Source organism: Homo sapiens, chromosome 3 (genome assembly GCF_000001405.40).
Source record: "Homo sapiens chromosome 3, GRCh38.p14 Primary Assembly".
NCBI classification, from domain to species: Eukaryota; Metazoa; Chordata; class Mammalia; order Primates; family Hominidae; genus Homo; species Homo sapiens.
Genome location: NC_000003.12, coordinates 57,157,437 through 57,185,118, shown reverse-complemented (window position 1 = coordinate 57,185,118; position 27,682 = coordinate 57,157,437). Strand labels below are relative to the sequence as shown.

Genomic DNA, 27,682 nt, shown 5'->3' with positions numbered 1-27,682 from the left:
CCTACTACCCTGAGATACTGCCATTCTTCCAGATATTCTCTACATGAGGACAGATGTGTTTTGCACAAGCAGAATTTTTTCTTTGCTGTTTGTGCAAATTTCCTGAATCAAAAAGAAACCTTCAAAAGGAATAGCTTTGAGTCTGTAAGGTCAGAAAACACAAGTAATTTTCCTAAAAGGCAGGAGAGGGGCTAGGGGATTTAAAAATTAAAATACTGGAAAATATACTCCAAATAGAGAAGCTAAAAAATGAGTACGGTAATTTCCTCCTAGAAGGGAATGTGATGCCTGGGCAAAATTCTGTTGTTTATTTTGCATGGTCTTAACCCGAGCTACACAAAAACAGAGAGCGGGTGGCAGGAAGTGCCTTCCCATGTCAAGGCGGGATGGGGCTCCCCATGTGAGGCCTCTAGATGTCTCAGGATTAGCCAAGAATCCTCAGAGCAACTTGCTCGAAACACTAATTGTATTTGTGTCTCTGTCTTTGATTAGTGGCTTAGTCAGCTTTCTGGCTCATTATCATCTTAATCTTTTTTTTTTTTTTTAATGTAATAAGGCTAACGCTGTAGTTTTACTTTTTCATTTTCCCCAAGGGAAATATAATTTAACTACATACTTGAAAAGTATGTTGTATGTTATATACTTTTTATCTTTAGAAATATATTTAATAACCTCAGTGTGAGAATGTTTTCTCCTCTCTGACCTCATCATCAAATGGTTGAAATAGAAAGCAAATGACTTGGAGTACCTGAACTCCGTCCTCAGCCATCAGTTGTTTTCCTCACATGGAATATCTTATAGCTTAGCAAAGAACAGAATCAAAGCAGACAATGCATATTGAGAGAAGTGGAGTTTTACATGTCAGTGATTGCATGTGAGAAAGCAAGAATAGTCCAGCGTTAAATATAGTATGCAGGTGGTGGGTGTATGGTGTTCACAGCAATTTTAGATTCTAGATTATTTCTTTGCTTGCACTGCTTGGTTTTATTAGCAGACAACAAGCCTTAGTTAAGCAGGCAATTTTTAGAAATTTTTACGCTCACATTATATGGGGGTAAAGGGAGACTCTGTCATTTTCCAGGATTTTCTGTAGGAGGAAGATACTGATACTGAGTGAGTCTGCGTGCTTCTGCAATAGATTGTAGTCACTTTTTCAAGGGTTTTGAGGTCTAATTAATGTAGTCTGTTTTGCTTATTTGTTGTACTTGTTTGTTTTTAATTATACAAATAATAATTACATTAGGATTGAAAAAGTGAACACATTACAGATAGAAGCTCTTTTTGAGACCCTTCCTCCCAAACCCCCAGTCTCCTCCCTCCAATAAAACTACCTTTTTCAGTTTGATATCTTTGCTTCCAAAATCTTTTTCTTATGGATTTTTACACAGGGGTATGTACCCACATAAAACATGTGGCATTGCTTTGTAGTTCTATTTATTTGTTGATTTTTCATAAATGGTATTTTAGCATACTTATTCTATAATTAGCATTTTTCCTCCACTCAACAATATGCCTCAGGGCTTTTTCTAAGCTCCTCGTAGCAGTACCTTGTTAAAACAAACAAACCTATTGCACTGTGTAGTGTGACAGGGTGGGTGTTCCACAGTGTGTTTTCAGCCATTTCTCTCTTGACAGACACTAAGGTTGTTTCTGTTGTTGTTGTTGTTTGTCCCGCCATTAAAAATAGTGCTATTGCTATGGGCTGAATATTTGTCTCCGAAAATTCAAATATTGAAATCCCAGTCCCCCAAATGATGGTATTAGGAGGTAAAGCCTTGGAGAAGTGATTAGATCATGAGAGTGGCGCCCTCATAAATCAGATCAGTGCCCTTATACAAGAGGCTTGAGAGTGCTCCCTTTCCCCTTCTGCCATGTGAGGACACAGCAAGAAGGAACCATCTATGAACCAGGAAATGGGTCCTCACTATGATGGCAGTGGCTGCTGCCATCATGCTGGCTGCAACGGGGAGGCACCACTCTGCTGCACACTCCATGGAGCCGGTGGGAGGCCCACCCCTTCTGAATTGGAGTGGGAGCTCCCCGAGTGCCACTGCAGCTGCCCAAACCCAGGTGCAGGACCCGGGTGTCTCTGCAGCCTGCACCCTTCCTGCACCCCAGGAAGAACCCCCCGCTCCCCCGCAAGTCCCTGCAGGCTTGGGGTTGTCTGCTTCTGCTGCCTGGCCTCTCTCCACTCCTGGTGCCTGCTCCAATCTTGGAGCAGGGTTTGGGCCGAGCCCCAGGGGCCATGAATCGCAGCAGGAGGCAGATTGATTCCTGGGTGGAAGGGGGCAGGTTTCCAGTAAGACCCCACCTTCAGGCCAGGGAGGGCCTGAAGGCTGGGGGCCAGTCTGCCAGTCCTTTGGACTGGAGTGGGGACTCATGGTACCTCTTCTGGCCGGCCCATGGCCACTCATGGACCAACTGGCATGTGTTTCTTCCCCTCTGAGGTCCATAAAAGCCCGGAGTTTAGCCAGAGCAGTGCAGACAATGGCCAGAGGACAAAGAGGGTAGAGAGACAAGGAATGACCAGCTGCAGAGAGGAGTTACCCTCTCTGCTGATAGCTGGAGATGACAAGACAACCAGCAGCAGAGAGGAGCTACTGGCTCTGCTGAAAGCTGCAGAGATGACCTGCTGGCAGAGAGGAGCCACCCTCTCCAGGGCCTCCTCTCTGCTGAGAGCTGTAGACATTGGGACAACCAGTTGCAGAGAGGAGCTACCATCCCCAGGGCCTCCTCTCTGCTGAGAACTGAACACTGAAGGATGACCTGCCTACGGAGAGGAGTTAACCACTGCAAGTCTCCTCTGGGCTGTTGTAACACTCAATAAAGTTCATCTTCATTTTCTTCACCCTTCACTTGTCTGTGTACCTCATTCTTCCTGGATGCAGGACAAGAACTCAGGTGCCGCGGCCACAGAGGTTTCTGGCCAGAAAATCAACACCCCGAAGATCCTGTAACAACTAGACACCAAATCTGCTGGCACCTTAATCCTTGACTTCCTAACCTCCAGAATTGTAAGCAATAAAATTGTGTTGTTATTAAGCTACCCAGTCTATGGTATTTTGTTATAGCAGCCTTAATGGATTAAGATAGTTACCAAAAACAGCTTGTATATATCTACCTGTGCACAGATATGAATTTTTTTCTGAGGTTAAACATCAAGAAGTAGAATCACTGTGCATTACAAATTAGAGATTATCCATATGTTTTATTTTAATAGAAATGGCCATTTCTGTGGTCTTCCAATGTTACTTTCAGTGGTCAACTCCAGTAAATATTTCTTATCTACTTTGGGATGGACACAGCCTGGGCTCCAAACAAAGTAGGGAACAAGAGGAATATGAACCTATGTCTTTACTCCCTAGGAAGGCTTAAGACTCATCTTTAGACCTCCCATACATCATCTGGTTAAAACATGGGGTTAATAAACTGCGAAAGAGTATCTATGATATAAAGAAAGGGATACAAGAAAATGTGCATGCATCTGCTTATTTGTGCAAATGAAATCCAGTAGAGATGAACCAGAAGCCAAAAAGTCTGATTACTTATAGAGAGTGAGTGGATGGGGATGGGATGGAAAGAAGGAGGGAATAATGGGAATGGGTGCTGAGAATACAGGGGCACAACACTTCTCTGAGTATATATATATATATATATATATAATATATATCATATATGTACTATAAATACTGAACATATAGTTTATATATTATATATGTATATTTTATATATATATATATATATATATATATATATAAAACAGAGTCTAGCTCTGTCACCCAGGCTGGAGTGCAATGGCACAGTCTTGGCTCACTGCAACCTCCGCTTCGCGGGTTCGAGTGATTCTCACGCCTCAGCCACCAAGTAGCTGGGATTATTGGCATGCACAACCATGCCCTGCTAATTTTGTATTTTTAGTAGAGTCGGGGTTTTACCATGTTGTCCAGGCTAGTCTCGAACTCCTGACCTCAAGTGATCTGCCTGCTTTGGCCACCCAAAGTGCTGGAATTACAGACTGAGTAGATCCTTTTATGTTGCTGTGACTCTTAGAACCACAGTAATGCTTCACATACACCCAAAATAAATAACTAATTTAAATCAACCAGGACAAGAGGAGAACCCAAAATGGAACACCAACACCAGTGAACCTCAGTATATCCCAAACGAATAGTATAACCATACTGGAAATAGTTAAGAAAAGACCTAACTTGGGTAACTCTGGAAACCAATGTTTTGACTAGATACTATAAGACTAAAGATGGAAAAGAGATGTACACACAGATTATAGTTTCATTAGGCCTGGCACAGTGGCTCATGCCTGTAATCCCAGCACTTTGGGAGGCCAAGGCGGGTGGATCACGAGATCAAGAGATCGAGACCATCCTGGCCAACATGGTGAAACCCAGTCTCTACTAAAAAATACAAAAATTAGCTGGGCGTGGTGGCATGCACCTGTAGTTCCAGCTACTCAAGAGGCCGAGGTAGGAGAATCACTTGAACCTGGGAGGCAGAGGTTGCAGTGAGCCAAGATCACACCACTGCACTCCAGCCTGGTGACAGAGCGAGATTCCGTCTCAAAAAGAAAAAAAAAAAAAGATTATAGTTTTGTTAGTAGATTTGTTTCTGTCTATGGCTCTCACAGGGGAATGAGTTAATGAGTTAGCAATTCTGAAACTATTCTTTGTGCAGACTAGTCTGGGTCCAGTCAGTAGACAAACTACATAGTAATTTGAACAGGGAAAGTTTAATATAAGGAATTATTAACTATAATAAAAGATTGGAGAAGTGATGGATTCACTAGTAAGAAGTAGAGAGAATGCTAAAGAATGTAGCAATAGCATACAGGAGGAGCAGCCACTGCCTACGGCTGAGAGAGACAATGCAAGGAAGGGCCCTCTCCCCAGGTCAGAGATCAGACGCCACTGGAAGGGACACAGCCATACCTCACTGAATGGCAGAGAAGTTGCTGTGAGGCTTCCGTGTCAGAACTTGTCACAAATCCACCCAGTATAGTGCCAGGGAAAGCTTTCATGGGAAGGTGTTTCTCTGGAGGCACTCTGCTATGAAACTGTTCAAAAGGAGTGCCAGGGGAAGCTGCTGGCCACGGGCACTTCTGGCTGCCATGCACTGCAGGAGCCAGCTGCTGTAGGAACATGGCACTGGGGAAGCTGTGTTTGTAGGAGCTGAACACTGGAGAAGCTGCCTGCAATGCAGGTGCTAGAAAAGCCACCAGTGCTGCAGGAGTGGATGCTGGAGAAGAAGCCCACACTGCAGAAGCCTGATGGAAGGAACACAGCAACCAGGTTTTCCTCCTTCCTCCTACAATGTCTCTCCATCACCCTCTACTGACAGAGTTTAACATAGTGCTAGCTGACAAATGAAAATAATTAAATGGACCAGATCCATTTTTGCTTAGCATCAGGTAATGAAGGGTGAATTTGGTTCTGAGAGGCAATAAATTGATAACTGGTAGAGTTCTCCTCTTCGGCTGTTCACCTTCCATATGCTCCCTTCTACACACATTTGAACCTTTATACAACAAATCACCTCTACAATTCTACCTAACAAGATAGAGCTATTCATCTTAGAAATGAAGATGTCCTCATGCTCTCCCCCAAATGAGAAGACACTCAGTCCCAACAATCATTACATCCATTCCTGGCTCTACTAATTATTTCTTATATTCAGTCACAGTCCCATGGAATCTTCTGTTACCTAAAGACTAAACTGTAGCATTAACTTTAGCAACTTGTATATAAATTAAAATGGCAAGAAGAGAAAGAAGGAGAAAATGATTTATATAGACAAACACACATAACAAGCAAATAGAATGTATTTTCCTTAATTGGTCATAAGACATAATTGATATACATGACTTCCTTCTACCTCTACCCATTCAATATTTCCCTAACCTCAGCCAGAAACTTAGCTAGTTAGGGTTCTTTACCTGGTGGACTGACCCAAACCTTAGTCCCCCAGAACTCTGAGTACTCAATTGCCTTGCCTTTTCTGGTTGCTCTAGTTGTTCGTTAACCCTTACTATTGGGCATGGAAGTACTAAGGGGTGCCCTGGAGAATCCCTGGGTTCCAAACATAGTCTTCCTTGTCCCCGTTGTATAGCAATGATCCAAAAATTTCCCCCTTGTAATAGAGATCAGTCTCTCTGGCCAGTAGAGTAACACCTTTCAGTGGCATAAGGAGTCCAAAATGGCCATGTGGCATTCCTATCTTTCAATTCAACGGAACCATTATTGGGTTCCCTTTGGGGATTAAGACCTCTAAACCAGCAGAGCTCAAAGTTGCAGGGAAGGGAAGCAAAAATCCTGCAAGAGGGTTAGTATGTAATAGTGAGAGAAGCCACTTCCACTTCTACTCCTTGCATCATGGAGCTATTTATTGTGGCTAAGAGGGAGACAGCACCATATGATGATCCCTAATTCAAAATATATACCGCATCCTATAAGACAGAATCCATCCTGTCAGGGTATTATTTCCCAAATGGCACCATAATAAAGTCTTCAGTAAATTTTGTCAACTTTTAATTATGTCTGCTGCCTCAGGGTAATGGGGTATGTAATAAGAACAGTTAATTTCATGAGCATGAGTCCACTGTTACACTTTCTTTGCTGTGACATTTCACTTTTTATCAGATGCAATGATTTGGGGATGATGTTGGATAAGGTATTCTGTGAGTCAGCAGCAATATTGCGGTGCCGGCAGAAGCAAATAAGAGAATGTATTGTGAATAAAGACAGCCAGGTTTCTTGCTGTGGAAAAAAGAAGTGACAAGGAAAGGGAGAAGGCTGGATTGAACCTACAATATTGGATTAGAATTGAATTTATTAGTATAAACTCATGGCTTCATGTGTGTGTGTATGTGTGTGTTAGTATACATACATACATTTCCCAGCTCTGTCTGCTGGGAGGGACTAGGAGCAATGATACCCCAGTAGCAATGCGCTCACCTAGTGCTTAGGTCTTGATTTCTAAATATCATTCTCCAGTAAAAGGAACCAAAAATCCTTATAGAAATTATTGATTCCACATACCTGTAATCCCAGCATTTTGGGAGGCCAAGGTGGGTGGATCACCTGAGGTCAGGAGTTTGAGATTAGCCTGGGCAAACCCTGTCTCTACTAAAAATATAAAAATTAGTTGGGCATGATGGTGGGCACCTGTAATCCCAGCTACTCGGAGGGTGAGGCAGGAGAATCACTTGAACCCAGGAGGTGGAGGTTGCAGTGAGCCAAGATCGCGCCACTGCATTCCAGCCTGGGTGACAAAGTGAGACTCTGTCTCAAAAAAAAAAAAAAAAAAAGAAAAGAAATTGTTGATTCCAGTACTAGGACACAGGAAATACAACATGACCCTGGGACATTTTCGTGTACCAGGAAGTAAGGACATACTAAAAAAAAAAAAATGATAGGGCATACAGAAAGGACACAGGACCACCCTGAAGGTGTTCTCAACAGCCAAAGCTGAAAAAAATTGAGCACCAAATTAAATTATAATAGTACAGGAATAAAACCTACCAAATAAAATATTCATGAGTCCATATTTATATAAATAATTGAATAAATAATGGTAGAAAAGAGACAGTAAACTTCTCCTTACAGAATTCCAATTAATAAATAAAGAGGGAATAAGAGAAATTTGAAAATCACTATTAGAACACTGCAGTAACAATTTTTAAATGCCAGATCCACTGATGAATGCTAAAATCAACAACAAAAGTTTGAGGAGTAACAGGATATTTGCACCATCTAAAATATCTCCACCAAGCAGGCTGGGTGCGGTGGCTCACACCTGTAATCCCAGCACTTTGGGAGGCTGAAGCGGGCAGATCACGAGGTCAGGAGATCGAGACCATCCTGGCTAACAGGGTGAAACCCCGTCTCTACTAAAAAACAAACAAACAAAAATTAGCCGGGCGTGGTGGCGGGCGCCTGTAGTCCCAGCTACTCGGGAGGCAGGAGAATGGCGTGAACCCGGGAGACAGAGGTTGCAGTGAGCAGAGATCGCACCACTGCACTCCAGCCTGGGCGACAGAGCGAGACTCCGTCTCAAAAAACAAAACAAAACAAAACAAAACAAAACAAAAAGAAAGTGTGTGGCACATCCCTGCTCACTCTCTCTCTCCTGCCACCTTGTAAGATATGCTTTGTTTCCCCTTTGCCTTCTGCCATGATTGTAAGTTTCCTGAGGGCCTCCCAGTCATGCTTCCTGTTAAGCCTGTGAAACTGTGAGTCAAGTAAACCTCTTTTCTTTATAAATTACCCAGTCTCAGGTAGTTCTTTGTTTGTTTGTTTGAGACGGAGTTTCCCTCTTGTTGCCCAGGCTGGAGTGCAATGGCACAATCCCAGCTCACTGCAGCCTCCAACTCCCAGGTTCAAGTGATTCTTCCACCTCAGCCTCTCTAGTAGCTGGGATTACAGGCGCCCGCTACCACGCCCAGCTAATTTGTTGTATTTTTATTAGCGACAGGATTTCACTATGTTGGCCAGGCTGGTCTTGAACTCCTGACCTCAGGCAATCCACCTGCCTCAGCCTCCCAAAGTGCTGGGATTACAGGCGTGAGAAACCACGCAGGGCAGGTAGTTCTTTATAGCAGTGTGAGAATGGACTAATATACACAGATTAAACTAGACCATGGAGACAAAACAACTAAGTGCAATTAGTGTATGTCCAGGATTCTGGATTGTATTCTGAACCAGAAAAAGGACGTCAGTGGACCCTTGATATGATGTGATAAAGACAGCACTTTACCTCCATGACCTTGTCTTAAAAATCCATAACCCTGAACCAGACATGGTGGTGCACCTGTAGTCCCAGCTACCAGGGGGCAGAGGTGGGAGGATCCCTTGAACCCAGCAATTCAAGGCTACAGTCCACTATGATTGTGCCTGTGAATAGCCACTGCATTCCAGCTGGGCAATGTAGCAAGACCCTATCTCTAAATAAAAATAAATCCACAAGCATAGTCTACTTATGAGAAAAACACCAGCCAATTACAATTGAGGGGTAGCCTACAAAATATCTGACTAGTATACCTCAAAACTGTCAAGGTCATGAAAAAACAAGGAAAGTCTGAGAAACTATCACAGCCAAGGGGAGCCTAAGGAGATACGACAACTAGGTATTACGTGGTATCTTGGATCGGATCCTGGAACATTACATTAAAAACTAAAGAAATGAGAATCAAGTATAGGTTTTAGTTAATAATAAGGTATTAATACTGGTTAATTAATTGGAGCAAATACATCATACTAATGTAAGATGTTAATAGTAAGGAAAACTGGTTGTGGAGTGTATGGAAATTCTGTACTATCTTTTCAATTTTTCTGCAAATCTAAACATTCTAAAATTTAAAAAACTGTTTTTAAAAATGAGACATTAGAGCTGGGTGTGGTGGTTCATGCCTGTAATTCCAGTGACTCAGGGGGCTGAGGTGGGAGGACTGCTTGAGGCCAGGAGTTCAAGACCAGGCTGAACAACCTAGTGAGATTCCTGTCTCAAAAAAATTTTTTTAATTAGCTGGGCATGGTGGCACACTCCTGTAGTCCCAGCTGCTTGGGAGGTTGAAGCAGGAGGTTTGCTTAAACCCAGGAGTTTGAGGCTGCAGTGAACTGCGATATTGCCATTACACTCCATCCAGGGTGACAGAGTGAGAGACTCCGTCTCTTAAAAAAAAAAATAGTGGGAAGTCTGGTGGATTTCCAGTAATGTCTGTAGATTACGCAGTAGTATTTTAGTGTTAAATTTCTGGTTTTGATTATGGTGCTATGGTTATACTATAAAAGGTTAACATTAGAGGAAGTTGAGTGGAGAGCATATGGGTACTCTGAGCTATTTTTGCAACATTTCCGTAAGTTTAAAATTATTTCAAAAACTTTTTAAAAAATTAGCCTGAAATGTTGCCAGGTTTTTAAAAAAGGAACCCAATCTATGGACTTGCATACCATTCTCAACCTTGGCCTCATGATGATATATGCATGCTTTTGAAGGTATAAACTATGTTGAGAGTAGCCAATGTACATATGGCTCACTTTTATGGAGAGCAGTTTGGAAGTCATGAACAAAGCTGGAAGAGCACCCAAAGCAGTAAATGAGACCGCCTGGAGGGTCCCTGGGAAACACTGTGAGACATTACATAATGGCAGCCAGCAGCAATGGAAGAATTTATTTTAGGTTTCGGGTTTTAATGTATATCTTTAGTCAAGCTGAGAAAGGCCAATGGAAGTTACCATCTGATCTCTCCAGTGAAGAGTGAACCACTTTCCTTCACACTCCTCCCCACCCTACCCATGCCTTTGCCAACCTGCAGGGGATTCCACCTGTCCCAGGCAGGGGTGCAGAGCTGCTGTCCCACCTGAATCTTTGGGTGGCTCCTGTGGGAGGAGGAAGCAGCCTGGCAGGGAGGGTGCTTGGTGGATTTCATTGCTGGCATGGGGCTGACTTTTGCTCATGAATTTGGCTCAATGTTTTGCTCTGCTGCTGTTTTTGAGATCTGTAATCCTTGCTCCACCTCTAGCAAAATTTAGCTTACATTCAGAAATTTAGAATTTGTTTTCTTTTCTTTTTTTGAGACAGAGTCTCGTTCTGTCACCCAGGCTGGAGTGCAGTGGCGCAATCTCGGCTCACTGCAACCTCCACCTCCCAGGTTCAAGCAGTTCTCGTGCCCCAGCCTCCCGAGTAGCTGGGACCACAGGCTCGCACCACCATGTGCAGCTAATTTTTGTATTTTTAGTAGAGACAGGGTTTCGCCATATTGCCCAGGCTGATCTTAAACTCCTGATCTCAAGTGATCTGTCTGCCACAGACTCCCAAAGTGCTGGCATTACAGGCATGAGCCACCGCACCTGGCCAGAAATTTAGAATTTCTTGCAATTTCTTGCAATGGCACTGGGTTGGCTGAGAGACCAGAGTCACAGCTCATTGCATATTTTCACAACTGAGGGACATTGGCCTTCCCCCTGCAATGGAGAGGACACCCTAGAAGGCTCTGACCCACCCAGTTGCCAGCCACTGCTTCTAGGTGTGTAAGTTATTCAATTTGAGGATTATTGCCCACGAGGATTTAACTCTAAAAGAGTAGAGAAAACATTCCCTGCAACTGTAAAATGAACACAGCATGTCTTTTCTTCTCCTCTGTCCTCTCTTTCCCAGAAACTTCTCCTTGTCTCCTAGGTGCTCCTGCAGGCCCTGTTCCCCCACTGAGTGCCCTGAGCCAGTCCCTGCTAAAATGTAAACAGGGGAGGCTAGGGCCTGAGCAAATACTTTGAAACTCTTTTTCCCCTTGGTTTCCTCTTAGTTCTCCCCCTGTCTCTCTGAACTCTCCTTTTGTGGTTCATTTTCTCTGGCTTCTATTTATACCCGAGCTTTTGAAACAAAGAGTGTAGGAGAGGAAGATTTGGGTTCATGATGCAGCACAGTCTCCAAATAGCTGCGTGTCATTAGGCAAACCAGGGAACCACCCGGAGCCTCACATCCTTCACGTCTGTTAAATGGAACTGCAAGTGGCTGCCCCTCAGTCTCACTGGCACTGGACTCTGCTAAGTGTAAGGGACTGCCCTGGAGAGTGAGTTCCTGGAGGGCAAGGACATCATGACCTTGATCATATTCCTTTCCAGTGCCTTGCACAGTGCCTGGCATACAGGAGACACTCAATAAATGCTTGCTAGATTAACAGTTGAATATAAAAACGCTATTCATTATGATTATGTATTCATTTATATCACAAGTCATATCATTTAGATTCATGATGGTATCAGAGAAAACAAAAAACAATTCATCTAGGTGAAGGGAGAGCTAAACATTATAGGTGTGATAATTCACAGAGTAAAATGGCTAAGAGTTGCCACGGTTGCTCCAGGTTGTTTATCAACCACATCTCATTTGAGTGGTTCAGTGGAACCTCTTTCCTCTTGATATATGTGACCTATCTTCGATCCTTGTGGATGTCAATTACCCAGTTTAAGTCCTAACCTGCTAATATAGCATATCTATTTTCCACTTTTAGAGGAGCCATAAAAAGTTGATTCTGTTTTAAAATTTCAAACAAACAGAAAAAAGGCATTTGGAGGAAACAGAAGAGACCTTCAATAAAACTATTTCCTCAGAGAGATAAGAGAAAGAATTACTTCTTTAAGCAAGAACAAGATGCTCAGCAAAAGGGACAACAACTAAATAAGAAAGAGCTTCTGTTGGATAGTAAGAAATATAGGCCAGGCACAGTGGCTCAAGCCTGTAATCCCAGCACTTTAGAAGGCTGAGGCAGGAGGATTGCTTGAGCCCAGGAGTTTGAGATCAGCCTGGGCATCATGGAAAAGCCCTGTCTATGGATTTTTTTTTTTTAAATTAGCCCGGCATGGGACTAACAATCAAGGAAATGCAAATCAAAACCACAATGTGATACCACCTCACTCCTGCAAGAATGGCCATAATCAAAAAATAATAGTTGTTGGCATGGATGTGGTGAAAAGGGAATACTTCTACACTGCTGGTGGGAATGTAAACTAGTACAACCACTATGGAAAATAATGTGGAGATTCCTTAAAGAACTAAAAGTAGAACTACCATTTGATCCAGCAATCCCACTACTGTGTATCTACCCAGAGGAAAAGAAGTCATTATACGAAAAAGATACTTGCACATACATGTAAACATACATATATAAACATGTATGTTTATAGCAGCACAATTTACAATTGCAAAAATACAGAACCAGCCCAAATGCCCATCAATCAATGAGTGGATAAAGAAACTATGGTATATATATATATATATATATATATATATATATATATATATATATGATGGAATACTACTCAGCCATAGAAGGTATGAATTCGGTTGTGCACAGTGGCTCACACCTGTAATCCCAGAACTTTGGGAGGCCAAGGCGGGCAGATCACCTGAGGCCAGGAGTTCAAGACCAGCCTGGCCAAAATGGTGAAACCACATCTCTACTAAAAATACAAAAAAAATTAGCTGGGCATGGCGGCAGGCGCCTGTAATCTCAGCTATTTGGCAGGCTGAGGCAGGAGAATTGCTTGAACCTGGGGGGCAGAGATTGCAGTGAGCCAAGATCGCACCATTACACTCCAGCCTGGGTGACAAGAGTGAGACTCCGTCTCCAAAAAAAAAAAAAAAAAAAAAAAAAAAACCTGTCAAGGTCACCAAATACAATGGAAGTCTGAAAAATTGTCATAGCCAAGAGGAACCTGAGACATGACAACTAACTGTAACATGATACCCTGGCTGGGATCCTGGATAGAATAAGGATATTAAGTAAAAACTAAGGAAATTTGAATAAAGTTTGGACTTTAATGATAATGTATCAGCCTCAGTTCATTAATTGTGCCTTACTAATGTAATATGTTAATAACTAAAGAAACTCTGGTTTCTTTTGTATAAGAACTCCTGTACCGTCATCTCAGTTTTTCTGTAAATCTATAATTATTCTTTTAAAAGTCTATTAAAAATAAGACAGAAATTTACAAAATAAAAATAACCTCAAAAGATGACAAGAAAATGTTTCTGCAGTTTGTTTCATTCGCATTATTTGGAGCTTTAGTAGGGTTGGATGTTTTCCTAGGGTTTTTAATGAGTCTTGGATTCATTCAAGACATTAAAACTCAGAATTTCAGTAAAGATGGTGATCATTCATTCATTCACTCAACAGTATTTATCAAATGCTGGCTAAATGCCAGGAAATACCCTGTGCTCAGCACTTGGAATACAGGAATCTTTTCAAAATATAGCCCCACTTCTGCCCTTAAAGTAATCCTAAGAAGCTGTTAGCTACTTTTAGGTTCAAACCAGGACATAAAGTACTGCCTGGCTGCCCCTGTAGGCCTCACCAGCTCACCTTGCACCATTCCGCCACACCTGACTGCTCTCCAACCACATTAGCCTCTTTCAGCTCCTTGAAGTTGCCACATTCCCTACTGCCCCAGGGCCTTTGCACATGCTATTCCTTCTGCCCAGAACAGTTCTCCTCTCTCTGCTCCCCTCCCCTTTGCCCAGGTAACTCTTATATTTGGAATCTTAGCTCAGGGATCCCTTCTTCAAAAACAACTCATCTACTAGTAATTCCTCCCTAGTCATAGGGCTATTTGAGTAATGCCAGTGTCCTCCATGGAATGTTTGTTTGCAGGTTAATGACAACTATGACAGTGCCCTGTTGTTCACTCTGATCCCCACTCCTGGCATAATGTCTGATATGGTGCAGAGATTCCATTGATACTTGTTAAATGAATTAATTAATGAATGGAAAACAGGATATGGTCCTTAGCCTTCCAGTATAGTGCGGATCCAAGCCAGGATGTTATCTCCTGAAGATTAGACGTGGCCATTTCCCCAGGTCTTAACTGAATTGCAAATAAGAGCTGGCCCTGGCTGCATCAACTCCTGGTCCACTACCTGCAGTAACATTCACTCAGGCTCTAAGTCATTTGCTTACTTCAGGTTCGGAAAAAAAACAAAAAACAAACAAACAAAAAAAACCCGAGGTCTGCATCCCCGTCATTCCAGTATTGCCATCTGAGAAAACTGACATCCAGAGAGATGGAGTTGCCCAAAGCCACATGGTTACTGAAAGGACCCATTTGATCCGTTTTCTTACGACCCCCTGGACTCTACTTCCCCTAAAGCTTAGCACCAGCTCTGAATAACAGCAGAGTACTCCCACCTGCCCTGGCGGCTTTGATCTAGAAAGACTTGTTGTGCGGTCGCAGTGCAGGGTAGTCTGGGGCGGCGGTCTCCGACCTGGACTGCGCGCGCCCCCTCGCGGTTACCTTGGAGACTAGACATCCGCTCTTCTTTTCCTCCGGGAAAAGAAACGGGAAGTGGCCGTGGGCCGGTGAATTCCGTGTAGTGGCCAAGGTACGCACCGCTCCAGAACTATGGGGTGGGCGTCCTGGGATTTCTGGGCGCAGGGTTGGGTCCGCCGCCCCAGGTTTTCTGTTGTCCGCCGCCCTGGGTCTCTGGGCTGTGCAGGAGGCGCCAAGGCTGGGTTTAGGAAGGCCATGTTTTTGGCGTCCTAGACAGGAAGAGTCTGGAGGAATCAGCTGAGTCTGGGGCCTTTCGTCCCAGGCAAGGCGGTCCCAGGCCAGGCGATCGGGGTCCGGTTTGAACCCCAGCTCTGTGACCGCGAGCAGACTTCCCCTCGCTGAGCATCAGCTTCCCCATCTGTGCAGTGGGGATGATGACGCCTACCCCATTGGAGCCAAGACTGCCAGGTAGCCTGATTGACATCCAGGCAGTCTTGTGGGGTCTCAGGGACTAAGGGCTTGCAGGTGGGTACCAGTTCTCCACATACTGCTCCCTCCAAAGCCTGGGAAACCTTGCACCCTCAGCCCTCTGGGAGACTGGGGTCAGGGGTACAGTGACACTCTTTACCTTTAATGTCTTTATTAATACAGAAAACATACACTAATTTCTCACAATACCAAAATAAATTAGAATTTGGGCCGACTGCTTCTAACACTGTTCATTAAAATAGTATTTAGTTATTCCCTGCTCAAAATGATTCATGATACAAATTACTTCCACCATCACTTTATCTTTTTTTATGTTTCACGGGATAATTTGACCCCTAACAAAATCCAATCCTTGCGTTAAGGATTTTTCTTATCTGGCTAGGTTATAATTAGAGTGGGAAAATATATTTACATTTCATCAACAGCTTATTTTAAGGTGATTTTATCTGTTTAATTCTCAGCTTTGTTCCAAAGAGGGGGAGGTGGTGACAGTCTCTTGCCCACTGAAGCGTGCCAGACAGAGTGCTAGGCATGGGGGCAGAGGTGAATCAGATGACAGCCACCTCTCACCACGAGGAGTGGCTGAAAGTGTGACTGGACTACAGGCAATCCTGGCCTTGGCAGGTGAGACCAAGTGTTGTATTGAGGGAGGGTTTCCCTAGCTCATCTTCTGGTCACCTCCACAGCTGAGCTCCACTGTGGCCTGGAGGAAACTGTGATCCATGAAAGGCATGTGGGGCCTGGTCCCCTCATTTTAGCTCAGCTTCCAGGACAGAGAGGTCCACTCCCTGCAGCCTTACAGCTATTCTGAAGGGTTGGGATAAAAAGAGGAGATGGAGACTGGGAGCGGCGGCTCACGCCTTTAATCCCAGCATTTTGGAAGTCCGAGGTGGGTGGATCACCTGGCATCAGGAGTTCCAGACCAGCCTGGCCAACATGGTGAAACCCCACCTCTACTAAAAATATGAAAAATTAGCCAGGCATGGTGGCAGGCACCTGTTATCCCAGCTGCTTGGGAAGCTGAAGCAGGAGAATCGCTTGAACCTGGGAGGTGGAGGTTGCAATTAGCCGAGACCATGGCATTGCACTCCAACCTGGGCAACAAGGGCAAAACTCCGTCTCAAACAAACAAACAAACAACAACAAAAACAACAACAACACAAAAAAACCAGAAAGGAGGAGATGGGAGAATCAATGGGAAAGACCAGAATACAGAGAATGTTGCCAAATGCCAATTTACAACCTTAATTTCCTGACCAGATTTGACCCTTTGGTGTCTGTGGCTCTCCTGCCACTCACATACATGCTGGTGGCCTTCCTAGAAAGGAAATAGGAGGGCCTCCCCATCCCTGGTCCTGAGGGATGTCATTCTAGGCATGTTTTAGACTGGACGCTTAAGGCTTTTCCTTCTTGTGCCCTCCACATGGCTTCAGGAAAGCTTGTGCTCTCTCTGAACCCTGCAGCATGTTTTCAGAGGCTGTCGGTTGCCAGATTCTGCAGTGAGCTGTGGATGGGAGGGAATTCAATAGTGGGTGGGTGTGCAGACAGAAAGGGAGCAGGAGTGGGGCTCTGCCTTCCCTGTCATGCAATCATATGGTGACATGAGTAAAACCCAGGGAGAAACAGTTTTCTCTAACCAATGTTCTCCTTGAGGTTCTCTTTCTCTTGTAAGTGCTAAGTACTGCTCCTTTTCCTGGAGTCCAATTCCTGAAAGAGGACAAATGGGCCAGGAGTGGTGGCTCACGTCTGTAATCCTAGCACTTTGTGAGGCTGAGGCAGGCAGATTACCTGAGGTTAGGAGTTCGAGACCAGCCTGACCAACATGGTGAAACCACGTCTCTACTAAAAATACAAAAAATTAGCTGGGTGCAGTGTTGCGCGCCTGTAATCCCAGCTACTCGGGAGGCTGAGGCAGGAGAATCGCTTGAACCTGGGAAGCGGAGGTTGCAGTGAGCCAAGATTGCATCACTCACTCTAGCCTGGGTGACAGGGTGAGACTTCGTCTCAAAGAAAAAAAAAGAGAAAGAATACAAATGGCCAACAAATACATAGGAACATGATCTACCTCATTCGCAACCAGAGAAGCCAATTAAGATGGTGATAATACCATAATGAACAGTTTGACAATTTTAAATGTGCATAATCCAGCAATTCTGATTCTAGAAATGTATAAAATCATTGAATCAATGTGTCAAGGTAAGTGTGTTAGGGTATTTTTGAATCACTGATTCTAACAGATGTCCCTTAGCATGGGGTTGTTTAATAAGTTATAAAGCATGTATAGGCTGGAATGTCACATAGATTAAGGAGCTGGTCGCCTCATTGTTTCCTCCCTGTTTCACCAAAACCCATATGGTCCTGGCCTCATCTCAGCCCCTGGCACCCCTGACTCTCATGGCCAAACGCTGGACATCCTTGCTGTGGGGGCTGAGAACAACCCAGGGACAGTACCAAGAATGTGAGGGAGGGTAGGGAGGCACTGAACCAGCAGCTCCTCCAAAGGAGTGATGTGCTTCCTGAGGTCTATTCACAGAAGGCTACTCCAGAACAGCCTTCTGTGGATCCTAGCTATTCTGGTGTCTGAAGAGGGTATGGTAAACCTCACTGGGTCTGGCTGAATTCCTGAATTCCAGGCAGTGAGGTAAAAAAAAAAAAAATTCTGCCCAGCATCTGGGTCTTGAGGTGGATGCTGTTGTTTGGGGAACCCAGCACCCATTCTCCCTCTCCCTGGCAATAATGTCAGTGTTCCTTTGGGCAAGCACTGTTTCACACTTCCAGCCCCTGAAGTTCAGGTGAGGCTGGCTCTACTCCTTGGTTCTAGATGTAGCTACTTCCAAGCAAATCCCCAAGACTTCTGCTAGCATTACCAAGAAGAGTTCTCTTCCTCCACTTAAGCCCTCCAAGGACGTGTGGGCAGGGTGGTGGAGACACAAGCCACAAGAGAAAGTGCAGGAATCCTGTGTTAGCAGTGGCTGAGCTTAGGCCAGGCCAGAGAAGGAGAGGGAGGGGATTCTGGGCCCTGGAAGGAGAGTCATATAGAGGAGGCTGCCCTGTTGAATGGACGGAGGTGACAATTTCCAAGGTTTCCTGAGGCAAAAAGACCAAGATAAGGCTGGGGCTGGGGGGAGTTCTGTGCAGCAGGAGCCAGGTGGTAAAGACAGAGTGGAAGAGAAAGCCAGTATGGATTTTATTCTAAATGGCCTTTGCATAAGAGCCACCATAGAACAGTTTTATTTATTGATTTTATTTTTATTAATCCTCCTCCAAACACAGAACACATAATTTTACTGTTTTTTTTTGTTGGTGGTGGTGGTGGTAGGTTTGTTTGTTTGTTTGTTTGTTTGTTTGTTTTTAGAGACAGGGTCTTACTGTGTCACTCAGGCTTCAGTGCGGTTGGCAGGATCATAGCTCACTGTTACCTCTAACTCCTGAACTCAAGCGATCCTCTAGGATTGGCCACTGCACTCAGCCTAGAGTTTTAATTGGGATAAGTCAGTAGTCTGATTTGTGTTTTTGGAAGATAACTTTGGATCCAGGCTGGAGAAATGTATCGGACACGGGGACAAAGTCAGAAGTAGAAAAAGCCCTTAGGAAGAGGAGGTGGTATTCTTGAGGAAGGGGGTAGTGGAGAGGGACAAAGTGGGAGAGTTTAGGTGCTCAGATAAAAGGCAAAGCGCTGGGAAGAGTGCGGTGAAACTCTGGATAGCTTGGGCTACTCCACTTCTCTGAGCCTCAGTTTCCTCTTCCAAACAGAAATAATATCCACTTCATGAGGTTATGTTTGACAAGTGTAGTAGCTGAGAGTATTGTTTTTAGTCAGGTCTGGATTGGATCTCAGGTCTGGCAGGTAACAGCTGTGTGACCTTATGAGAGTCAGTTAATGATAGATTGTAGCCTTTATGGAGCACTTGTTATGTTTCAACCAACAGAACTCTCCCCAGACTAGGATACTTATTCTAGCTTCCAGGAGGGTGAGGGGGACGGGGGGTTGTGGTGAGGAAGTATTGTGGAGACAGCAAGCCTTTTGTCCAAAGTCCTACTAGTAAATGTGGAGCCAGGATTTCTCTGTCACGTTCCCCTAACTTTTCTGCGCCTAAAACTGGGATAACAATAATACACTTCCTTGTGTGGTTGGGCGTATACAGAAAGGGGTCTGGCACATAGCAGGTGTTTATTAAATTATTATTAAAATTATTATTATTACATTCTTTGTGTTTTCCTCAGGTTTTGCATAGAGTGAGCATCACTTGGACAAATCCTTTGGATTAAAAAAAGATCTACTAAGTGAGGGGGAAGAAACTGCGGCTGCCAGAGTCTCAGTGGGGGCTTGGGGGGCGTGACCAGAGGGGCGTGGTCTACGGGGGCAGGGCCACAACTGGAGGGCCAGGCTGTGGGGGCGGGGCCAGCACACGAGGACTGAGGGTGGGGGCGGGGCCCGGGCTGGCAACGCATGCCCAGTGCGGTCCCCTTCGCTGCCGCCGCGGCCGCCGCGGCCACCGCCCACTCGGGGCTGGCCAGCGGCGGGCGGCCGGGGCGCAGAGAACGGCCTGGCTGGGCGAGCGCACGGCCATGGCCCCGTGGCTGCAGCTCTGCTCCGTCTTCTTTACGGTCAACGCCTGCCTCAACGGCTCGCAGCTGGCTGTGGCCGCTGGCGGGTCCGGCCGCGCGCGGGGCGCCGACACCTGTGGCTGGAGGGTAAGGCGAGGGCGGCGGGTTTCTTGCCGTCGCCAACTCGCGGGGGACGCAGCGCGCACAGGTGCTCGCGGGGAGGCGAGCCCGCGCCAACCTGTCTGCTCTTCGCGGGGTCCGCGGCCGGCCTGGGTCTCACTCCTCCCGCGCATCCTCCTGGTTTCCCTCCCCGGACGCGTGTCCTCCGGCCCTGGCCGAGATGAAAGCGGCTGCCCGACCCCGGCTTTGTGTTGCTAATGAGGTGCGGCCGCCGGCCGGGGTCCCATTCAGAGGGCGGGCGTGAGGGGCGGCGGGGCTGGGCCGGGCGCCCCACCCTTTGTTCTTGGCCCGGGACCTCCTTCGTCCCAGGGCTGCGTGTCCCGGGCTGGGATCCCCCGAGCCACCCGGACCGGGTTGCGCTTTGGAGAGGGAAGGGGGTATTCTCCCGGACTTTCAGTCCACAACCCTGCTAAGGCCCGGGCGGCCGGAGAGGGGACTTGGAGCACCGGGGAGGGATGCGCCCCGCTCTTCTAGTAGCTTTGTTCCTCCTCGCCTGGGGCCGTCACCCCACTCCTACCCCTCCTCTGACTCCGGGACCTCCTGAGAAACTTCGCCTCCCGGTTCAGCCCTTCGTCTTGTGAAGGTCTCGCGGCTGATATCCTCCTTCCCTGCTTCGAGTTGCGGATATTTTTCCGCCAAAGGGCCGCGTGGGTGTCATCTGGGTGAGGTGCCTGAGACGAGACTGGAGAGGTGCCCAGACTTTCGCCGTGTGCATTGAGCCGTCTTCGTGGAACCGAGCGCTCCTTTGACACTGTCTGGGCGATGGGCGCGGGTGATTGCCATTCCCCTCTCAGCTTCCCTGCTCCCTACCTGGGCTTCTGGCCTTGGGCGGCCCCAGAACCTGGAGATGATGTCCGTCTGCCCCGAGTCTCCCACCGAGGCCCGGGTGGGCCCGGCGTCAGGGCACTCACGGCCTTAAGCTTGTGGAGAAAACGTAGGCTTTGCACTCAGGCAGCAGGGACATGACCTTGGCTCTGCTCCTGGGGAGCCATGAGCCTCAATTTCTTCATATGAAAAATGGGATGAAATGAGAATTTCCTTAGTATTGCTGGGCTGAGGGATAGGTATGGAGTGGTTTGCTTAGGCGAACGTTGACTCAGCCTCTTCTGGGTGGCTCTAAACAGCCTCAGCACAGCCAAAACCTAGGACATAACACTCCCTTAGGCACGCAGGCTGGTGCCTCCAAGCTCACTTGCCCCACAGTCCCAAGAAATGTGGTGCAGAAAACCAGGTGTGAGCCAGACAGCTGGGATGTCTTCAGACTCAGTAGCTAAGCTATGGAGACGGCTATGACCCCTGCTCTGCCTCCGCCCCCGCCACCCCCTTCCCCCCCCGCCCCCCCGCCCCATTAGGCTCTGTCATTCCTTCCTAGTTGAGTAAAGCATCACATTTTCTTACTGTGTTCCATTTCAGTAAAACATTACTGCTCTTGTTTTATTGTTTAAAAAAATTTTAGTAGCTAGCAAGTTTCCTCAAGGAGGATCTCGTGTTGACTTAAGGATCCTACTAGAATTTTGGATTTAGACTCCTATTGGCTTTTGAATGACTACAATATCACAGGCGTTTTATTTTGAGTGTTCATGTGATGGCGTAGGTAAATCAGTCCGATTCACTGTTTTGCTGCAGTTGCCAAGGTGGCTTCTTATGCCACTGTACAAAACTCGTGAAGTTTCCATGCTGTGGGGTATGGTAGTGCCCTGACGGAGCCAGGCTGGTGATTTTCTTCTACCTGTGCGAGTGTGTTCTCCTCTCCCAAACCTGCACCCTCATAAAATGGTGGCTCTGTCCCAGTCACCTCACACTTATGCTGACGTTTTCTCCACCACAGCCCCTAGTTGGGGGTGACTTTTCTCAGCTGCTCCTGCCTTGGCCCCACCAATCGTTTCCTTGGGTCATCCTCATTCGCCTCCTGGACGATCGTAGAGGCCTCTGGGCCATGTTCCAGATTCCAGGCTCATCCAGGCTGATACATGGTTCCTTGTCTCCTGGATTTGCTGCTTGGTGGATTTCATGGACCCAGTTTCCCCACATGCTTTGCATTCCCACCCTTTCCAGCCTCACCCCCTACCCTTCTCATCCTGCTCCTAACTCCGGATGGATGCCCTCTGTGCTTCCAAGACATGCTTTTCCCTCCTCCCAGGATGCCTTTTCCTCCCTTGAGAATTCCTTGCCTATCTTAAGACTCAGTTCAGGTGGTACCTCCTCAGGGAAGCCCTCCTGAATGCCATGCCCCTTGCTTTACCTTCTCATGCAGGTCCTTGCACTTTAGTCTCATCAGACAGCTTTGTCAGTATTTGTTCACTTCTATGTCTTCAGACTAGTTTCTTTAGCCAGGCACTGAACCTCATCTTGGTGGCGTCAGAGCCCTGTAAATATTGGCTGAACCAAATTAGACCCTGCTGCCTTCCTGCTAAATCCTGTATTTCCTGATAGATTTTAAGAAGTAGAGGCAAAGATCAGGGCATCAAGGTCCATTGTCTTTGCACATGCTGTTCCTGCCTGTGTTCCTTTACACCTCTGCAGCTTCCTTTCTCGGCCCTAGCATCACTTCTGCAAAAAATTGTCCCTGTCCACACCTCCCTAGGTCATGTCTTCTAGAAGTTGCTCTGTCAGGGAGTCAGCTAGGAAGTACTGGTACACAGTGACTAGAGTATTTGATTCATGTTTGGGTCCCCTACCAAATAAGAGGTACTTAGTCCATAGATGTTGGCCTCAGCTCTAAGGTTGCTTACAGTGGGGCTGTAGGAACATAAAAGGATAAGGGTCGACTATATGTGATGCAAATCAGAGGAGGCTTTCTGTGGGCCTGGGCCATACTCAGAACCTGAGAGGGGGCAGCAAGGTGCAGCACCAAGTCCTGAGAAACTGGATTTAGGTGCTGGAGCAGAGCTGAGCAAATGACCCCCTTGATCTCCAGGCAACATTTGTTTCAGGAACCCTTGCCCTTGCAGGAATGTGTATTTTTGCAAGACTTGCAAGGTGACTACAGCCAGCCAACCCTCTGCAGCCCTGCTAACAGACCCTTCGGGGCTGCTCCCAGAGGAGCCATGGGCTGGCCTGGTTTAAGTGGTCAGGTTTCACAACCTCCCCATTATTAGTGGGGCAATTAAGAGGCTGATACCATCTTGAACACAGGTCAGTGTTTTAGAAATGAGTTGTGGGCACACTTCCTCAACTACTTAAAAAAAATTCTCTTAGGGTCCTTGCCAGGTAAGGTTGCTCTTTGAGTAATAAATACTGTGTTCACACAGAAGTAATGATTTGTAAAACCTCCAGAGGGACCACACCATCCTCATTTACACTGGCTCTTGCTTCTAGAGTGGAATGGTTTTGTTTGCAACTAGAAGCAAGTTTGGTTCATAACTTTAATTGTGTCAGTCACTCATACTGAAGTTCTCCCTCCCCTTGTCTTGCTGGTCTAGAAGCCTTTTTATGGAACAAGGAGTTAGGAATCTACTCCCACAGGTTTGTATTTAGTGGCTTTTCCTGCAGTGGGGGAGGAGGGAACATTTCTTGCCTCCTTACCTAAATGGGGTCCACCTTCTCTGGTCTATTATCCCTGGAACATAATTCCTACTCCCCCTGCAAGAAAACACTACTCCTTCAGGAATTCGGGAAGCCAGGATGCTGGCATCATCTTTACAATGAAATGCAAGTTTCCCATTTAAGGCAAATACTTCATCACAAAAGGTAGGAAGGAATAGGGTGGTACTTGGAAAAGAGAAGTTCCAGCTGGTTAAAATTTAGGTTCCTGATAAAAGTCCAATCCAAGAATTATCCTTGGCTGTGGGCCCAGACATGTTTATTTGATTCTGAATTGGATGCATTTTCATTCACTTGCAGCTCATGGCTCCTAAGCCCACATCTGGTCTGCCTATCGTATGGCCATGTTGTCCATGTTACAGATGCTCTTGTGTCTGTTACAGAATTCTTGGTTAAAAAATTACTCAGTCCTGGTTGATACATTTTTTAGAGAGACGTTTTTATAAGCAGTGCAAAGCTTTCTTCCAGCCTGTTTTGCCTAGTTAATTGGGAACTCTTCTGGCCCATGTCCATCTTTCTTGAGCAGCCCTCCCTTCTCTCCCCAACCTCAGCCATCCACCCAACCCCAAGCCCCTGCAGTGCCTGGGGCATTGTGCTAGTTATTAACTTGGGCATATAGCTCCGTGACCAGGAGACCAGCAGTTAACTTTTTCTCCAAGTGACACCCTGGGCCTTCCAGTATCAGAATTGCCTCAGGAGCTTGTTAAAATGCAGATTGAAAGCTAATGGGATCAGAGTGAGAGTGAGGTGGAGCCCAGGAATTGGCATTTTAACAAATTCTTTTGAGGATACGCATGCTGTAACCAGGATGAGACCTATTGTTTTAGGGGACAGGGGTCCCACAATCCAAAGAAGGGGAGAACACACATTCTAAACATTTAAAATCAGAGTTTGGCTTTAAATTATGTCACTGGCCTTAGAGAAGAATGTGAAGACTTTCTCAGAGCCCTGACCGATAAAAGGGGTCAGGCTGGGTGGGGAGTGTGAGGATGGGAGGAGCAGGGAAGCGGGGCGGGGGAGAAGCTAGTTTGGATGGGTGCCTCTGGCCTGGGGCAGATGAGGAGGCCTGGAGTGAAGAGGACTTGACACTTCCCCTGAGTTCCTCCCTAGAACAGCTGGGTTTGTCTGAAAACAGTCTCAGGAAGGAGTAGCACAGGATCCAAATCAGATTCTCAGCAGTTCAAATCTTACAACTTCCCAACAAAGGAAAGAACTGCTAGTGCTTTTAAGTATTTTTCATGCTTCATTTGGCCTAAAACATGTTTTTTTTTTCTTTTTTAAAGCTTTCAAGGCTTTTTCTTCCTCTGTCCCTGAACTTTTTATATACTGTGCCCCAGCAGGTGTCTGCTCCTGCTGGGGCTACCCCATCAACAATTTTATTGTCCTCCTTCATTCCCCGCTGCCTCTTTTTTTGAGACGGAGTTTCGCTCTGGAGCCCAGGCTGGAGTGCATTGGCATGATCTCAGCTCACTGCAATCTCCGCCTCCCAGGTTTAAGCGATTCTCCTGCCTCAGCCTCCCGAGTAGTTGGGATTACAGGCGTCCACCACCACACCCAGCTAATTTTTGTATTTTTAGTAGAGACAGGGTTTCACCATGTTGGCCAGGCTGGTCTCGAACTCCTGATCTCAGATGATCTGTCCACCTTGGCCTCCCAAAGTGCTGGGATTACAGGCGTGAGCCACCGTGCCTGGCCCCCCACTGCCTCTTCAGCCTGCTTCTGATGGATGGGTTTTTAGGCTTCTAGAACTTGAGCCTCCACCCTTGATTTGTAAGAATGTGGGGTGAGGAGAGGGCTCAGCTATCAGGGAGCTTGACAGGTTGAGAGGTGCAGTGGCCTTAGAGCAGACCTCTCTCTGGCCACCCTGCCCTGGCAGCCAGACCTTTTCCATTTCCCATCTACTCCCAAATTTGGAGAGCTCCTGCCCTCAGTCAGCCGGGGGGCTGTCTGTGCTGGAGCTACAGGCCCCATCTCCAGCCAGCCAGACTTGCCCAGCCAGTGGGAGGCATTGTCCTCCTGGGCAGTGTTTGTCTTGGCTGCTTGGATGTTCTGAATGGGCCTGACACACGATTAGGTGACTGATGGCCTCCGAAACACATTGTCTCCTCCGGGGCCCACAGCCTTTGAAGCTCTTCCCGGTGGGAAGTAAAGAGACTATTTGCTCTATTAAAATGCCTTGGTATTTCCTCTGTTTAACCACAGGCCACTTCCCCTCTGCCACTCTAAACCCGGCAGGGCCACCGGCTGATTGAAAAGACACAAGCCCTCAAGTGATCACATCCTATTGAAACAGATAGTCTTACTGCAGATTAAAGCTAGGGCCAGTCTTGAAGAAACAAATCCAAGGGGGGAATCTTTGAGATGGCCCATTATCTTGCTCAGAATTTAGTCTGTTGAACAGAATTCACACTTGAAGTCCTGAGTGCATAAATGTAAATGTGTCTTTAAAAAAAAAAAAAAAGAAGAGATATCGACATTGTAAATTAAGTCAGTGTGTGTTTTATCTATATATGGCAGGTTAAAGCAATCCAATCAACAATTTCTCATTGTGTGAGTTGGAAACCCTTTGGTGTCTGGGAAGGGCATGTTGTCTGTTCATAGAAAACCACACCCTGCTGCTTTCTCTATTTGCAGATTCTACCTGTTCAGTCATATGCTGAAAAGTCCAAGTAAGAAAGAAGTCTGTAGCTTAAATAATACCAAGAATATCTCTGGGGAGACTCCTTCATCCTTTCCCAAACAATATATTAAAAGAAGGCTTTTAATTAATAACACCAGGCAGGAAACTAAAAATTGAACAATTTAAAAAATTACCTACATAACAAAAACTCCATTTGTACCATGTTTTTGTGAAGTGGCCTAAAAAACGAATAACTAGTTTCTAATAGAGACTGTTAACATTGATGTTTGCAACTCCATTGTTCAAAGTATCCATGATAAAAATGGATTCCCTTTTCTTTGGTTCCTTGTTTGGAAATGTTGGGGGAAGGTGGATGTAGCTAATTAAGGCTACAACATTTAAAGGGGGGGACTTAATAGGTACCAGCTGTCCTCAACAAATCACTGGGTGGACGACAAAATAAAGATGTGATGTGAACACACATGTAATTCTCTTCTAAAACGGAAATGGGCTCATAAATTTTCTGATTTAATAGTGTAAATGAAAACTACCTCTACTGTGCTTATTTAAGAAGCATTCATTTTATGGTAAAACTAATGCTAAAATGTCTTATTTGCATATGGCTGGTACCTTAAGACTTGAAAGGGCAGTAGATGGCAAGTATTATTGGAAGCTTAGTAAATTGTAATTTTATTGTACCTTTCTTCATTCCATACCTGATCTAATAGACGTTAATCATGAGGCTTTTCATTAAAACTACTACATGGTAGGGAAGCATGCTTGAACGTACCAGAAAAGCCATATAAAATTCAAGTATCAACTTTGAAAACGGAATGGAAATTGGTAGCATTAATTAAAATGTTTGGATGGATATTTACATTTCACACATTAAATGAATACTTCATATGAATCCTTTTGAAATCATGAGGGATTAGGCCTTAAATACAACTTTTTTTCAGATGTAAAAAGTACTTTATTGCCTTCAAAACTAGGAGTTTTTCCAAGTGTTCTGTTTGGTCATTTTTGTAGATCTTTTCCCCCCATTGAATAGTAACCCTTTAAAAAATGCTGGCAGTGTCCCCAGACTTCTGTGCTGCGATGGACTGTTTTACTCGAGAGTGGGAGGGTTAATGGGATAAAGGGAGGGCTTCCTTGGAACGAAGAGGTGTGTTTTCCTGAGATAGGCCATATGGTTTAGAAACCCTTTCCCTGTGATTTTATTCTGTCCGGGTGATTTCTGGTTTCTTCTCTCCCAAAACGGCCCCCTTTTATCTGAGGAAAATGCAGTGCAGTATGGACCAAATGTAGCAGCAGTCCGCCGCCTGAGCGTGGTCTCTGTTGAGTGACGGTTTATGGCCCCTTCCTCTGGAGTGTGCACATTTGCTCTGGGTGCAGCACAGGCACTCACACGGTTAGGATTTATTGTAACTGTTCAGTATCTGAAGCTCAAAAAGACTTATTTGGAGTGAGGAGGCAGGAGACCCTTTTTTTGAGCAGCCACCCTGTGTTAGGTTGTGGGACCAGTCCC

General features: G+C 45.8%; 1 protein-coding gene across 4 annotated transcripts in view, besides 5 other annotated features; it reads left to right on the top strand.

Annotated features, from left to right (window-relative positions):
• Positions 220-415: a silencer, noted in NCBI's record as "fragment chr3:57218732-57218927 (GRCh37/hg19 assembly coordinates)". NCBI's record gives its function as "represses an EF-1alpha promoter that drives an FKBP-Casp9 reporter gene in an ReSE screen in K562 erythroleukemia cells {active_cell/tissue: K562}" and the evidence as "EXISTENCE:reporter gene assay evidence [ECO:0000049][PMID:32094911]".
• The window catches only part of IL17RD (interleukin 17 receptor D), an 80,336-nt gene continuing 67,455 nt past the window's right edge, over positions 14,802-27,682 (top strand). For 2 of the 4 annotated variants that reach the window (NM_017563.5, XM_047448369.1), the window contains exon 1: positions 19,766-19,958. In NM_017563.5, coding sequence (NP_060033.3) covers positions 19,833-19,958 — 126 coding nt within the window. In that variant the 5' untranslated portion in view covers positions 19,766-19,832. Of the gene's footprint in view, positions 14,887-15,724; positions 15,888-19,765; positions 20,194-27,682 lie in introns of those variants that run through there. The other 2 variants (NM_001318864.2, XM_005265238.5) reach the window with 2 other exon arrangements.
• Positions 19,578-19,627: a silencer, noted in NCBI's record as "silent region_14479". NCBI's record gives its function as "represses an Ori minimal core promoter by ATAC-STARR-seq in GM12878 lymphoblastoid cells {active_cell/tissue: GM12878}" and the evidence as "EXISTENCE:reporter gene assay evidence [ECO:0000049][PMID:35858748]".
• Positions 19,648-19,987: a silencer, noted in NCBI's record as "silent region_14478". NCBI's record gives its function as "represses an Ori minimal core promoter by ATAC-STARR-seq in GM12878 lymphoblastoid cells {active_cell/tissue: GM12878}" and the evidence as "EXISTENCE:reporter gene assay evidence [ECO:0000049][PMID:35858748]".
• Positions 24,831-25,514: an enhancer, noted in NCBI's record as "OCT4-NANOG-H3K27ac-H3K4me1 hESC enhancer chr3:57193633-57194316 (GRCh37/hg19 assembly coordinates)". NCBI's record gives its function as "activates a minimal SCP1, AML or CMV promoter by ChIP-STARR-seq in naive and primed H9 embryonic stem cells {active_cell/tissue: H9 hESC(naive and primed)}" and the evidence as "EXISTENCE:reporter gene assay evidence [ECO:0000049][PMID:30033119]".
• Positions 25,515-26,200: an enhancer, noted in NCBI's record as "OCT4-NANOG-H3K27ac-H3K4me1 hESC enhancer chr3:57192947-57193632 (GRCh37/hg19 assembly coordinates)". NCBI's record gives its function as "activates a minimal SCP1, AML or CMV promoter by ChIP-STARR-seq in naive and primed H9 embryonic stem cells {active_cell/tissue: H9 hESC(naive and primed)}" and the evidence as "EXISTENCE:reporter gene assay evidence [ECO:0000049][PMID:30033119]".